This window comes from Homo sapiens, chromosome 15, assembly GCF_000001405.40.
Source record: "Homo sapiens chromosome 15, GRCh38.p14 Primary Assembly".
NCBI classification, from domain to species: Eukaryota; Metazoa; Chordata; class Mammalia; order Primates; family Hominidae; genus Homo; species Homo sapiens.
The window spans coordinates 92,274,441-92,287,543 of NC_000015.10; the positions used below are offsets into that span (position 1 = coordinate 92,274,441).

Genomic DNA, 13,103 nt, shown 5'->3' on the forward strand with positions numbered 1-13,103 from the left:
AGGGATGATCCCAGGGAGAAACATACATTCCTGGCTAACACGGTGAAACCCCATCTCTACTAAAAATACAGAAAATTAGCCAGGCGTGGTGGCTGGCACCTGTAGTCCCAGCTACTTGGGAAGCTGAGGCAGGAGAATGGTGTGAACCCGGGAGGCAGAGCTTGCAGTGAGCCGAGATTGCACCACCGCACTCCAGCCTGGGCGACAGAGCAAGACTCCGTCTCAAAAAAAACAAAAACAAAAACAAAACAAAATATTCCGTGACCAAATCTTCAACATAAGCAATAAGGAGGCACCTGCTTTAAAAATTACCTCATGAAATCCAACAGCAAGTGGCGCGTTAAAGAAAGTCAGCATTATTATCATTGGCAGATTAAACTGTGCTCACAAAAGACTCAAAGATGATATAAAAAGGCCTTCACTGCTAAAGACGTTTTCACTTCAAAGTGCATTGTCTAAAAGATTAGAACATTTCTTTTTCATAGAAACAATGATGGTGAAGGTCCCAGGCTATTCAATAAAATTCTGTTAATCCACAATTATAATGAAGAACAACATTGCCAAGCCACACCACTTCCTATTCTCCAACACATTCTGCTCCCCCATCTGGGTGCCCTTTGCTTGTGTATACCTGTCAAATCATACCTAATTGTGGAGACACGGAACAGGTACCTCCTCCTCCAGGAAGCCTTCCTTACAACCTCAGACAAAAGAAAGCCCTCTCCATTGCATGTTTCCGGAGTCCTCTCCTTTATCATTTTCTATAACAGTTCTTACATTGTGTGTTATACAGGCATCTTATTTGTCCTCTTCAGCTGGGAGTTCCTTGTGGGAAGAGATTATATCTTAATAATCTTGGACATCCTACAGCCTCAATGATGATGTCTTAAGAAGGCTAGCTCTTTCGTAAAAGTGTTTAAACTGAAAAACAAATGGCTGCTGTTAAACCAAACAGAATAATGAAGACTAAATGGAACTTTAAAAAAGTGACTGATCATGCCTGATCTATAGTTAGGTGCACAGGAAAGGCTAATTGTAAACTGAAAAACAACAAAGAATTTTTTTAACACAGCATTCCATTGTATGTTTATGCTATACTTTATTACATTAACCTTTAATTATTGAACACATCCAGCATTTTTTTCATTCATGAAGAATCCTGCAATGAACATAAATGTACTATCAATTCTGTGAATGAGTATTATTTTAGAATAAATTATTGGAAGACATACATGGGCATATGCACTGTTAAGAGTTTATGCAAATTGATGCTTCTAAATGGAAATTCTTTTAAAGTTCCACCAATAGGTATAAGTTTTGCTGTTGTTTTCTGGTAGATTATTTGGCCCCAGTTAGGGACATTTTTTAAATCCACAGTTTGTTAATAGTTTGCTCTTGAATGGGTGCTGAATCATATCTAGGGCTTTATCCAGGGCAGATAAAGCACCTGCCCTGGATGTTCTTCTCGGTTCAACCCTCAAATCCACACTGTCCACCTTTTCTAACCCGCTCTGTGTGAGAAGGGTGGCTTTTTTGCCCTCTGGCTATTGGTTGCGGTCAGCCAATGGGAAGGACCTTCAGGAAATCTAAAGGGGTATGGGTGGGGGAAGAGGGAGAAATTCAGCAAATACGCTTTCCCGGCATCCTCCTTAGTAACTCATCAGTAGCTTCATTTCTCTACCAAAGACCACAGATTCTACTAGATGTTCCCACACCACCATTTCTGAAAACCATCCATCTCCTTGCCTTTCAGGCCTTGGGGGTCAGGGGATGTGCAGGTGGCAGCTCCCTACTTTTCCTGGGCCTGGGATGCTTCACCATGTCTTATTGGGTTCCCTTAACCCAACAGCACCTCTGCAAAGGGTTCCTTTGTTAGACTCTCCCCATTCACCCTTCTGAAATTTCCATCTATTTTTTGACAAGATTAGACTAACATTGTAATTGGTACCAGGAGTAGCTCCAGGAGCAGAGTGGAAGCCCTTAACCATGAGCAACAACATAGACACAATTTCTAAAATGAGCAGGGGTGTCTTTTGTGGCAATGGAAGTATTTTGACCCACAGCATCTATGACTAATTGAATTGTAGGGTCCCTAGAAATGAAATCGATGGGTAGACTTACTCAAGTGTACTTGACTCATGTGGAAAGAAACTTTCTGGTTCTGGTGAGCAGAATCCTAATACAATGAATCCTAATACATGGAATCACTGTAATGGGATTCCATGGCCTCTTGCCCACTTTCCAGACCTAGGCCAGTACACAGAACCAGAGTAGGCTGGATTCTTTGAGGAAGAACTCTATAGTGCGACCACATGTATACAGTGTGCATCTACCTCCAGGCCTTCCTCAGAGGGCCCTGCATTTATTTCCAGGGTGACTATGCAGTAAGGAAAAAGAAATATCCAGACTTTCCAAGGGCTATAAGAGTCATCTCTGAGCCGATGTCAAGCCCTAGAAATTGAATTAATTTCTCAGTGGGTCTGGTGGGACCCACCCTGATTCATTTGTCCAGTTCCAGCATGTAGAAGGCCATCATCAAAGATCTGAGAAAGACAGGGGTCCTGGGTCTTACCATAGTGGCCATTTATTTAGCTTGTTGGGCCTGTACAAAACTCAGATAAGTCTGGAGAATAACTGTACATTATCACCTACTTAATCAGGTGAGGATGACAACTGTAGCTTTGGTTCCAGATGTGGTAATTTACTGAGAAAATCAGTACAGCCACTGGCTACAGGTATGCAACTATTAACACAGCAAATGCCATTTCTTCGATTTCTGTTGAAAAAGATAACCGGAAGAGATTTGTCTCCACATGTTTTCCCTTGAGACCATGATAACTCCCCTGCTTCTTTGTCATAATATAATGCACAGGGATCTTGATTATTTTGATATCCCATAGAACATCATGTGTGGGCACTCCCTCAGTAACAGTGTGCTCATTGTACACGGTAAGGAAAACTTCCCATCATGAACTGGGTAGCATCTGAGTCACCAGATCATAGAGGTGGGCACAGCACCTGTAGTTACATGGAAAAGATCTAAATGAGACTGACTCAAACAAGTACAGAAGGTACAAGTAAATGGCATGAGCACGTAGCTTTCTCCCCGTCAAGGTGCCTCTTCCTTATGCTTCACTACTTCTCCCTCTACCCACACTGATGACCTCATAGGGAATTCCTGCTCACCAGTCTCCAGTTTATGGAGGGGTTTTCAGGGTGTAAAATCCACTAGGAGTGGCCTTCAAAGAGTGGTGAAGGGAAATCCTCATTTGGGCAGACTTTGGGTAGTACAGTCAGATGGCTGCCTATTTCACCTGGAAGAGAAGAGCAGGAGTAAGGCTCAACATTGTCATTGGCAGAGGTTAACAGGTAAGTGACTGGCTAGAAACTTGGAAAGACCAATACTGGAAAATTGGTGATAGGGAAGCCTGGGCTAGAGATGTGTGGGTGGGTCTCTCAGAATGAGCACAGAGAAGACAATCATTTCTTACAAAAATGCCCACCAGAGGGCATCCACTCCAGTGCCAGCTCTCAGTAATGACTAAGTGTGGATGCCAGTTAGCCTCTTTCCCCAGCCACCCCAGTGCTTGCTCAGGCTCTTATCCCAAGTGGCCCTGAAGGTATGGCTGGGGTCAAGAAGCCTGGACTTTCCCCAGCGAGGCTTATTTGGTTCCTGACACCACTGAGTTCCCTATGAGCCAATGGCAAGTATGGCCCTAATCCCTGAGTATACCAAGCAGCCACATAGGACACATTGATTCCATTGCTCCTTTCATCATGGAGGGGGCAACAAATTTGGCCTCACCATGATAAATGCCTATTCTGTTAATAGACTTACTTTTCTTGCCTATTGTGCTTCCACATGCATCATGATTGGTGCCTTATCAGCTGCCACGTTACCCCAAACAACATAGTCTCCAGCAAAGCAGTTGTTCTATAGCAAAAAAGTATAGCCTTGGCTGGGCACGGTGGCTCACGCCTGTAATCCCAGCACTTTGGGAGGCTGAGGCGGGCGGATCACGAGGTCAGGAGATCGAGACCATCCTGGCTAACACGTGAAACCCTGTCTCTACTAAAAATCAAAAAAAAAAAAAAAAATTAGCTGGGCGTGGTGGCAGGCGCCTGTAGTCCCAGTACTTGGGAGGCTGAAGCAGGAGAATGGCATGAACCCGGGAGGCGGAGCTTGCGGTGAGCCCAGATCGCACCACTGAACTCCATCCTGGGCGACAGAGTGAGACTCTGTCTCAAAAAAAAAAAAAAAAAAAAAAGTATAGCCTTGAGATTTACTATGTGCCCCATCACCTAGAAGCAACTGCCTTAATAAAATGGCAAAGGTTTGATTACAAGAACTGGGGGGAAACAACATTCTGCAAGGTTGGGGAGCTACCCTACAGGACGTAGTAGATGCCTTTAATTAGCAGCCAATATGCAGGGCCACTACAATAGCCAGAATGCATGAGTCTGGGAGGTAAAGTGTGGATGTGGGAGTTGTCTCTCTCCCTATTTTACCAAACAATCCACTGAAGAATTGCTTTCCCTTGTTATGACCTTGAGTTTGATGGGGTTGGAGTGTCTGGTGCCTAAGGTAAGAAAACTCCCGCTAGAGATCACAGCGATATATCAATAAAATTATAGCTTGACACTGAACCCCAACCACATTATTTCTCATACCACCAAACTAACAGGCGGAGGAGTCACTCTACTGACTGGGGTAATTAATCCCAATGGCTACGGGGAAACTGGGTTGCTGTCGTGCAATAGAAGCAAGTGAGACTGTCTGGTAGACAACGGTTCACCGTATTGGCGGAAAATTGCAGAAATCCAGTAAAGACAGGACCACCCAGAGCTTGGATCCTGTGGAAATGAAGGCTGGCATCATTTCACCAGGAAGGAAACTCATTCATCAGAGTTGCTGGCAGAAGGTAAGGGGAACAGGAAAAAGGTGGTGAAAAATAGAGCTAGGATGATCAGCTTAGGCTTTTGACCAGTTAGCTGCTGTGACTTACGTTCCAAAATTGTTTCCTGCCCTCCACCTTTTGGGCCTGAACTTACACTAAAAAAAAAACAGGCGAGGTTTCACATGGTGATACTATTGAAGTCATATCAGCTCAGATAATTTCTTTAATTTTCTCTTCTTCATCTTCTTCTGTTTCTCCTCCTGGAACTTCTATTCTGCTGACTGAGTCCTAGCTCTATTCTTGATTATCTTTATCTTTTTATTATTATGGCTCTATTGATTGTTTTTATCTTTTATCTCTATTAATCGCTTGATTAATTTATCTTTTCATTTGTAATTCTCATCTCTGACTTTTGCTTTTGCATTCCAAGAGAATAACATTAGTTGGTCTGATTTCTAAGACTTTTTCTGAAGTATCCATTGTGATATTTAGGCTATTTTTTCTTTTGGAAATTATGTGTTTTTCCAAGATCTGTTTTTTCTCAGCATTGCCCTTTCCCATGGCTGTCTGCTCCTGTTTTATAAACATGATCTCTTTCCCAATCTCACTGCAAATATGAATTCAGTGTGTTTGAATTCCTGTTTTCTGGCACTCTGCTTGATCCACCTCTTCAAGCTGCTAATTTTTGTTCATTTTTATGAAGAAAAGTTGAGATCAGTGGTTTGAGGAGTAACATATCATAGTCCCTTGGAAAATGTTTTTTCAAAATACATATACCCAGTTTCCCTTTTTTTCTTCCAGTGCCCCATTTCCCCACTCCCAATAAAAGTATAACAATCTCCAGTAAAAGCTGTCTAGATAAAGATATTAATAAAAAACATAATCTATCTACATAATTCTGATATGCTTCCTTCCTCCACATGGAGAATCAGCAGGCTAGTGTGCACAGCACACTTAAATGATGTGAACTCTGGGAACTCAGGCCATTATTTGATTAACACGTTGGTTTACTGTGATAGTAGGTATGTAGGTGCTCTGTGTGTTGGCAGTGGTAGCTCATAAGATAAACTTCCTTCCAGGGACAGCAAGCCAGGAATGTTGTTGGAGTCTTAGAACAACCTGGTTATTCCCCAGTCTCTCTTTCTTTGTAGCATTAACTAAAAGGGCCACATATCTCAAACGCTGGAGCCCCAAGATGGTAGAGCACAATCAGTTGAGAATCCATAGTGACTGCTGATCCCTATGAATCATAAGCTTTTGCTGTGTTAAAACACCAAGACTATGAAATTCTTGTTTTAACACAGAATAACTTAGTGTATTCTGATTATTTAGTATCTTGAGTGTTGTTTTCCACATGACACATCAGAATTTTCCTATACCCTTAAAGACTATACAAGAATGAGACTTTGAATGGCTCCACAATATTTCATCGTAAGTTTATGTACTGTAAATTTACTGACCTAATCCTCTACTGTTGAACATTTGGTTGAAAACAGTTTTAGAAACTATAAACAATGTTGTAACAAACTCCATTGTGTTTGGCATTCGTTCATTGTCAAAATTTCACTAGTGCTACTCACATGATTAGAAATGATTACATACTGCTACAAATAACAAAATATTAGTGTACCATAGATTTAAGAACTATAATGTTTTTATTTGAAGATGACATGATTGTTTACATGGAAAATTCTTGAGAATCTACAAAACAAGTAAAACTAATACATTTATTTAATAAGATCAGACCATGTAAAATATGCATGCAAAAATCAATTGTATGTTATGTACTAGTGACAAACAGTTGAAAATGGAATTAAATAAAAACAATTAAACAGAGAATACCACAAAAAACATAAAAATTTTAGGATTTAATTTGTAAATACATGCAATATCTCTACATTGAAAATTACGAAACATAACTGAGAGAAATAAAAAATAGCTAAATAAATAAACATACCATTTTCATGGATCAAATACTCAACATTTTTAATATGGCAGTTCTCTCCAAAGTGATATATAGATTCAACTAATCACAAGCATAATCTTACCTGGGTTTTTATAGAAACTGACAAGTTGATTCTAAAATTTATATGGTAATTCTTGCCTCCCTGACAGTAGCTCAGCCTCCAGGACTCTCTTCCAGCATGGCTGAAGACACCTCTTCACATAAGATGGTGACAACAAATCACAGGCGCAGTCTCACCAAAATCACAGATCAGTTGAAAATCCTCATCAATACCTTCAATCAAAAACCTTACCCAGGTTATGCTACCAAACAAAAACTTGCTTTAGAAATCAATACGGAAGAGTCCAGAATCCAGATTTGGTTTCAGAATTGAAGAGCTGGATTCCAGAAAAGACCAGAACCTGGGACTTTAGAATCAAGCCAGAGCCATGGGCAAGATCGACCTGATGCAGAGTTTCAAAGTAGAGAAGCCAGATGGTGTTGTACCACCTACAGCGCCTCTCAATTAAGCACTCTCATCAAGGCATCTATGAAAAGCCCATACCCTGGGATTGATTCCAGAGAACAAGTTGCTGAAGAAATTGGTGTTCCAGAGTTAAGAGTCCAAATCTGGTTCCAAAACTGAAGATCTAGATTTCATCTCCAGAGAAACAGGGAACCTGTTGTGTCCTTAGAACAAGAAGACCAGGGGCAAGATTTCTGAGGGACATCAAGGTACAGAAGATACACAAAATGGCACCAACCTCACTAGCAATTCTCATTTCTATAGAGCCAGAAGGTGGTGGACACAGTCAAGTTCAGTGTATTTGATATTATCAACTTGGGCCCCAAATCTCTCTCACAGTCTTCCTGGGAGTCTATCCTTCTGCTGAAACTGCAAGCTAAGCCCTCTGAAGATGGTAAAGGACACGGCCAGGTGCGGTGGCTCATGCTTGTAATCCCAGCACTTTGGGACACCGAGGCAGAAAGACTGCCTGAGCCCAGGAGTTCAAAACCAGCCTGGGCAGCATAGCAAGACCCTGTCTCTATTATAAAAAATGAAATAAAATAAATAAAAAGGACTGTAGGAGGCAGAGACAGGTACAGGAGGCACCACACTACCCTATTGACACAGCCTGGATCCAGAGTTCAGCGGACCTTGAGACAATGAAAATAAACTTATTAATAATCAAAATAAATAAATAAAAATAAAATGTATATGGTAATTCAAAAGACTTAAATATCAAAGTCAATCTTGAAAAAGAAGAGAAAAGTTAGAAGACAAACAATCTAAATCAAAACTTACTATAATGCTATAATGATCAACAAACTCGTCCTGGTATGAAGATCAACAAATAGATCAACAGAACAGACTGGAGTTCAGAAATAGGCCTATAGTTACAGAACGTGATTTTTACAAAGGTGTCAAATCTTTTCAACTAATAGGGTTGGAGTAACTAAAATCCATATGGAAAACAACAAACCTTGACCCCTTACCTCATACCACACTCAAACACTAATTCAAGATAAATCAGAGACCTAATTATGAAAGGTAAAATTATAGGGCTTCTTGGAGAAATCACGGAACATCTTTGCAAGCTGGGGGTAGGCAGAGTTTCTTTAGACAGGTTACAGGAAGGCAGTGACCATAAATGGGAAAATTTTTATAAATTAGACTATCAAAATTAAATACTTTTGATTAAAAGACATCATGAAGAAAATATATACTAGACTACAGATAGGAAAACAATATTTACTAAAAACAACTCAATACAAACTCAATAATAAAAGCCAAACAATCGAATCAATAACTGGAGGAAAAAAAAAAAACATGTGAATAAGAAGATACGTGCATGGCCAATAAACATGGAAAAAGGTTCTGAAAAGCATTTGCTATTGAAAATGCAAATTTAAACCACAATAGGACACCAATCAACACTCACTAGCATGGATAAAATTAAAACGAGTAACATCAAATGGCGGGAAAGGTGTGGAGCAACTGAAATCTGTGTACGTTGTTGGTAGAAACGTAAAATGGTGTGACCACTCTGAAAAATATCTGCTCAGTTCTTTATTTTTTTATATTTTATTTTTATTTTTTAGATGGAGTCTCACTCTTGTCGCCCAGGCTGGAGTGCAGTGGAGCGAACTCGGCTCACTGCAGCCTCCGCCTCTCGGGTTCAAGCGATTCTCCCTCCTCAGCCTCCCAAGTAGCTGGGATTACAGGCGGGTGCCACCACACCCTGCTAATTTTTGTATTTTTAGTAGAGACAGGGTTTCACCATGTTGGCCAGGCTGGCCTTCAGCTCCTGAGGTCAGGTGATGCTGGGATTACAGGTGTGAGCCACTGTGCCTGGCCTGATCGTTTCTTTAATAACTAAGCATATATGTGTCAAGTTGGCTAGGCCATGGTACCCAGATACGTGGTCAAACACCAATTTAGATATTGCTGTGAAGTTATTTTTTGGAGGAGATTAACATTTCAATCAGTAGACTGTGAATAAGGCAGATGACCCTCTGTAATGTGGATGGGCCTCATTCAATCTGTTGAAGGCCTTAAGAGAAATGACTGATGTTCCCCCAAACAGAGGAAAGCCTCCAGATTGTCTTTGGATTTGGGCTACACCTTTAATATTTCCCTGGCCAACCCTGCTGGCCTACCCTGCCGATATTAAACTTGCCAACCCCAGAGTCATGTGAAGCAATTCCTTAAAATAAACACACACACTCTCTCTCTCTCTCACTCTCTCTCCTCACACATACACTCAAACATACACACACACACACACTATTGATTCTGTCTTTAGAAAACCCTGACAAATACACTATTACTTGACCCAGCAATTCTATACAAGAAAATGAAGTCAAATGTCCCTAAAACTAATTGTACAAGACTGTTCGTGTGGGTTTATTCACAATAGGCAGAAACTGGAAACAGATCAGGTGACCACTGATAGCAGAATGGATAAACAAACCATATTATATTCATACAGTGGAATACTGCTTAGCAGCAGAAAGCCATGAATTACTGATAAATACAACAACATGGCTTAATCGGAAAAACATTTTATCTGAGTGAAAAAGCCTTACACAAAAGAGTATTTATGATGTGATTCCATTTATCTAAAGAATAGGGAAAACTAATCAATGATGAAAAAGGAAATCAGAATAGCAGTTGCCTCTGGGGATGGGATGGAGGCCGGGGCTTACTGGAAACAGGAATGAAGGAGCTTTCTGGAGTAAGGGTATTGTTCCATGTGTTAATGGAGGTTGGGTTATACAGGTGCATGCATCTTTCAAAGTTCATCAAATAGTACAGTAAAATTAGATCATTTCATTTTAGGTAAATTTTATCTTAAAGAAAAAAGAAATATAACTAGATATTAAACTCTAGGTAGCAGTATACATGGTGAAGTGTTTAGGGGTGAAATATGCTGATGTTTGAATCTCACTTTGAAATGCACTAAAAATAAGAGAAATTAATGGATAGAGAGATGGATAGGTATATCAGAATAAGTGTAGAGAGATGTTAATTGTAGAAACCAGATGGCAGGTGTTTGCTATACAGTTATTCCCAGTTTCCTACATGTTTGAAATTTCTCCTAATAACATGTTGGAAAAAAAGAGAAGTTTATTTCTCTTCAAGAAATAAAGATCCAGAAGCAGGCAATCCTGGACTTAGATGGCAACTCCATCATGACTAGCAATTCAGCCTCCTTCAGTTTTCTTCTACTTTCCTTAGCATGCCACCTCATAGCTGGATCTCTCAGCAACTATTCCACTCTGCAGCCAGCAAGACACTCACAGCATCCAAGCAATTCTTTCCTGTCTCTCCTGCCTCATCATTATTTCTCTCTCTACTGGATTGCTGTCATCAGCATACAAAACTGTAGTTATTTTTCTCATCTGAAAAAGATTCTTCTCTTGGCCAGGCATAGTGGCTCATGCCTGTAATCTCAGCACTTTGGGAGGTTGAAGCAGGAGGATCACCTGAGGTCAGGAGTTCGAGACCAGTGCGGCCAACATGGCAAAACTCTGTCTCAACTATAAATATAAAAATTAGCCGGGTATGGTGGTGCATACCTGTAATCCCAGCTACTCAGGAGGCTGAGGCAGGAGAATCACTTGAACCCCAGGAGGTCACAGTGAGACGAGATTGTGCCACTGAACTCCAGTTTGCGCGACAGAGCAAGACTCCATCTCTCTCTATATATATATATGTATATATATTCTATATATATGTGTATATATATATGTGTATATATTCTATATATGTATATATATTCTACATATATGTGTATATATGTATATATATTCTATGTATGTGTATATATACACATATATATATGTATACCCAACTTCCTCTTCTTTTAGCTGCTGTCCTGTTTCTTTGCCCTCCTCTATGCAAAAAAAAAAAAAAAAAAATCCTCAAAAAAATAAAGATGCTTCCCCTGTGTGATTCCGTCCTGCGCAGCTGTTCTCTTGAGCAGTGGTTGTTTATATCCATCCACCTTCTCTCCCATCTAAGTGTGTGCCGCCACCTGATGGAAGATTCGATGGGCATGTATGTGGACATGAGCCCCCTGAGGCCCCAGAACTATCTTTTCGGTTGTGAACTAAAGGCCGACAAAGATTACCACTTTAAGGTGGATAATGATGAAAATGGACACCAGTTATTTTTAAGAACAGTCAGTTTAGGGGCGGGTGCAAAGGATGAATTGGACATTGTCGAAGAGAGGCAATGAATTACGAAGGCAGTCCAATTAAAGTAACACTGGCAACTTTGAAAATGTCTGTACAGCCAACGGTTTCCCTTGGGGACTCTGAAATAACACCACCAGTGATCTTACGGTTGAAGTGTGGTTCAGGGCCAGTGCATATTAGTGGACAGCACTTAGTAGCTGTGGAGGAAGACGCAGAGTCAGAAGACGAAGAGGAGGAGGATGTGAGACTCTTAAGTATATCTGGAAAGCGGTCTGCCACTGGAGGTGGTAGCAAGGTTCCACAGAAACAAGTAAAACTTGCTGCTGATGAAGATGATGGTGATGATGATTTTGATGATGAGGAAACTGAAGGAAAAGCACCAGTGAAGAAATCTATACAAGATACTCCAGCCAAAAAATGCACAAAAGTCAAATCAGAATAGAAAAGACAAAACCATCATTAACACCAAGAACAAAAGGACAAGAATTTTTCAAAAAACAGGAAAAAACTCCTAAAACACCAAAAGGACCTAGCTCTGTAGAAGACATTAAAGCAAAAATGCAAGCAAATGTAGAAAAAGGTCTTTCTTTTCCCAAAGTGGAAGCCAAGTTCTTCAATTATGTGAAGAACTGCTTCCGGAGGATTTACCAGGAGGCTATTCAAGATCTCTGGCAGTGGAGGAAGTCTCTTTAAGAAAATAGTTTAACAGTCCCCGGTATGTGATGTTCCCCTTCCTGTGTCCATGTGTTCTCATTGTTGTGGGGTGGGGGGAGGGGGGAGGGATAGCATTAGGAGACATACCTAATGCTAAATGACGAGTTAATGGGTGCAGCACACCATCATGGCACAGGTATACATATGTAACAAACCTGCACGTTGTGCACATGTACCCTAGAACTTAAAGTATAATAATAATAAAAAAAAAAAGAAAAATAGTTTAAACAATTTGTCAAAAATTTTCTGTCTTATTTCATTTCTGCAACAGTTGATATCTGGCTGTCCTTTTTATAATGCAGAGTGAGAACTTTCCCTACCGTGTTTGATAAATGTTGTCTAGGTTCCATTGCCAAGAATGTGTTGTCCAAAATACCTGTTTAGTTTTTTAAGATGGAACTCCACTCTTTGCTTGGTTTTTTAAGTATGTATGGAATGTTATGATAGGATATAGTAATAGCGGTGGTCAGACATGGAAATGGTGGGGAGATAAAATTATACATGTGAAATAAAACTCAGTATTTTAATAAAGTTAAAAATAAAAATAAAGACGCCTATGTTTGTTGTTTCTGGTTCAATATTCTGTGGTCAGCCCTTGGGGTTCATCTTGCTTGCTGCATCTGCAATACTCAGTGTAGCACGTTGATCACTGTTTCCTCCATAATACAGCTTCCTAGACACCAAAGTCTTGACTTTCTTCCCACTTCCCTGTTTCCCTCACAGTGCTTTCTCAGTCTTCTTTGTAATTTACCCCTTTTCCTGGACATCTCAATGTTGGAGTGCCCCAAGGCTCAGTTCTTGGACCTTGTCCTTTCTCCTTCCCATCCAGTTCCAAGAACTTA

At 40.4% G+C, this 13,103-nt stretch overlaps 1 long non-coding RNA gene and 2 pseudogenes across 1 annotated transcript; 2 read left to right on the forward strand and 1 right to left on the reverse strand.

Annotated features, from left to right (window-relative positions):
- Positions 1–2,562: 2,562 nt before the first annotated feature.
- On the reverse strand, positions 2,563–3,308 carry LOC107987227 (uncharacterized). The gene is made up of 2 exons (XR_001751663.2): positions 3,187–3,308; positions 2,563–2,776 (listed from the first exon to the last, which is right to left on the reverse strand). It is a non-coding gene; the product is annotated as an uncharacterized LOC107987227 (long non-coding RNA).
- Positions 7,003–8,034, forward strand: DUXAP6 (double homeobox A pseudogene 6; annotated as a pseudogene).
- Positions 11,372–12,794, forward strand: NPM1P5 (nucleophosmin 1 pseudogene 5; annotated as a pseudogene).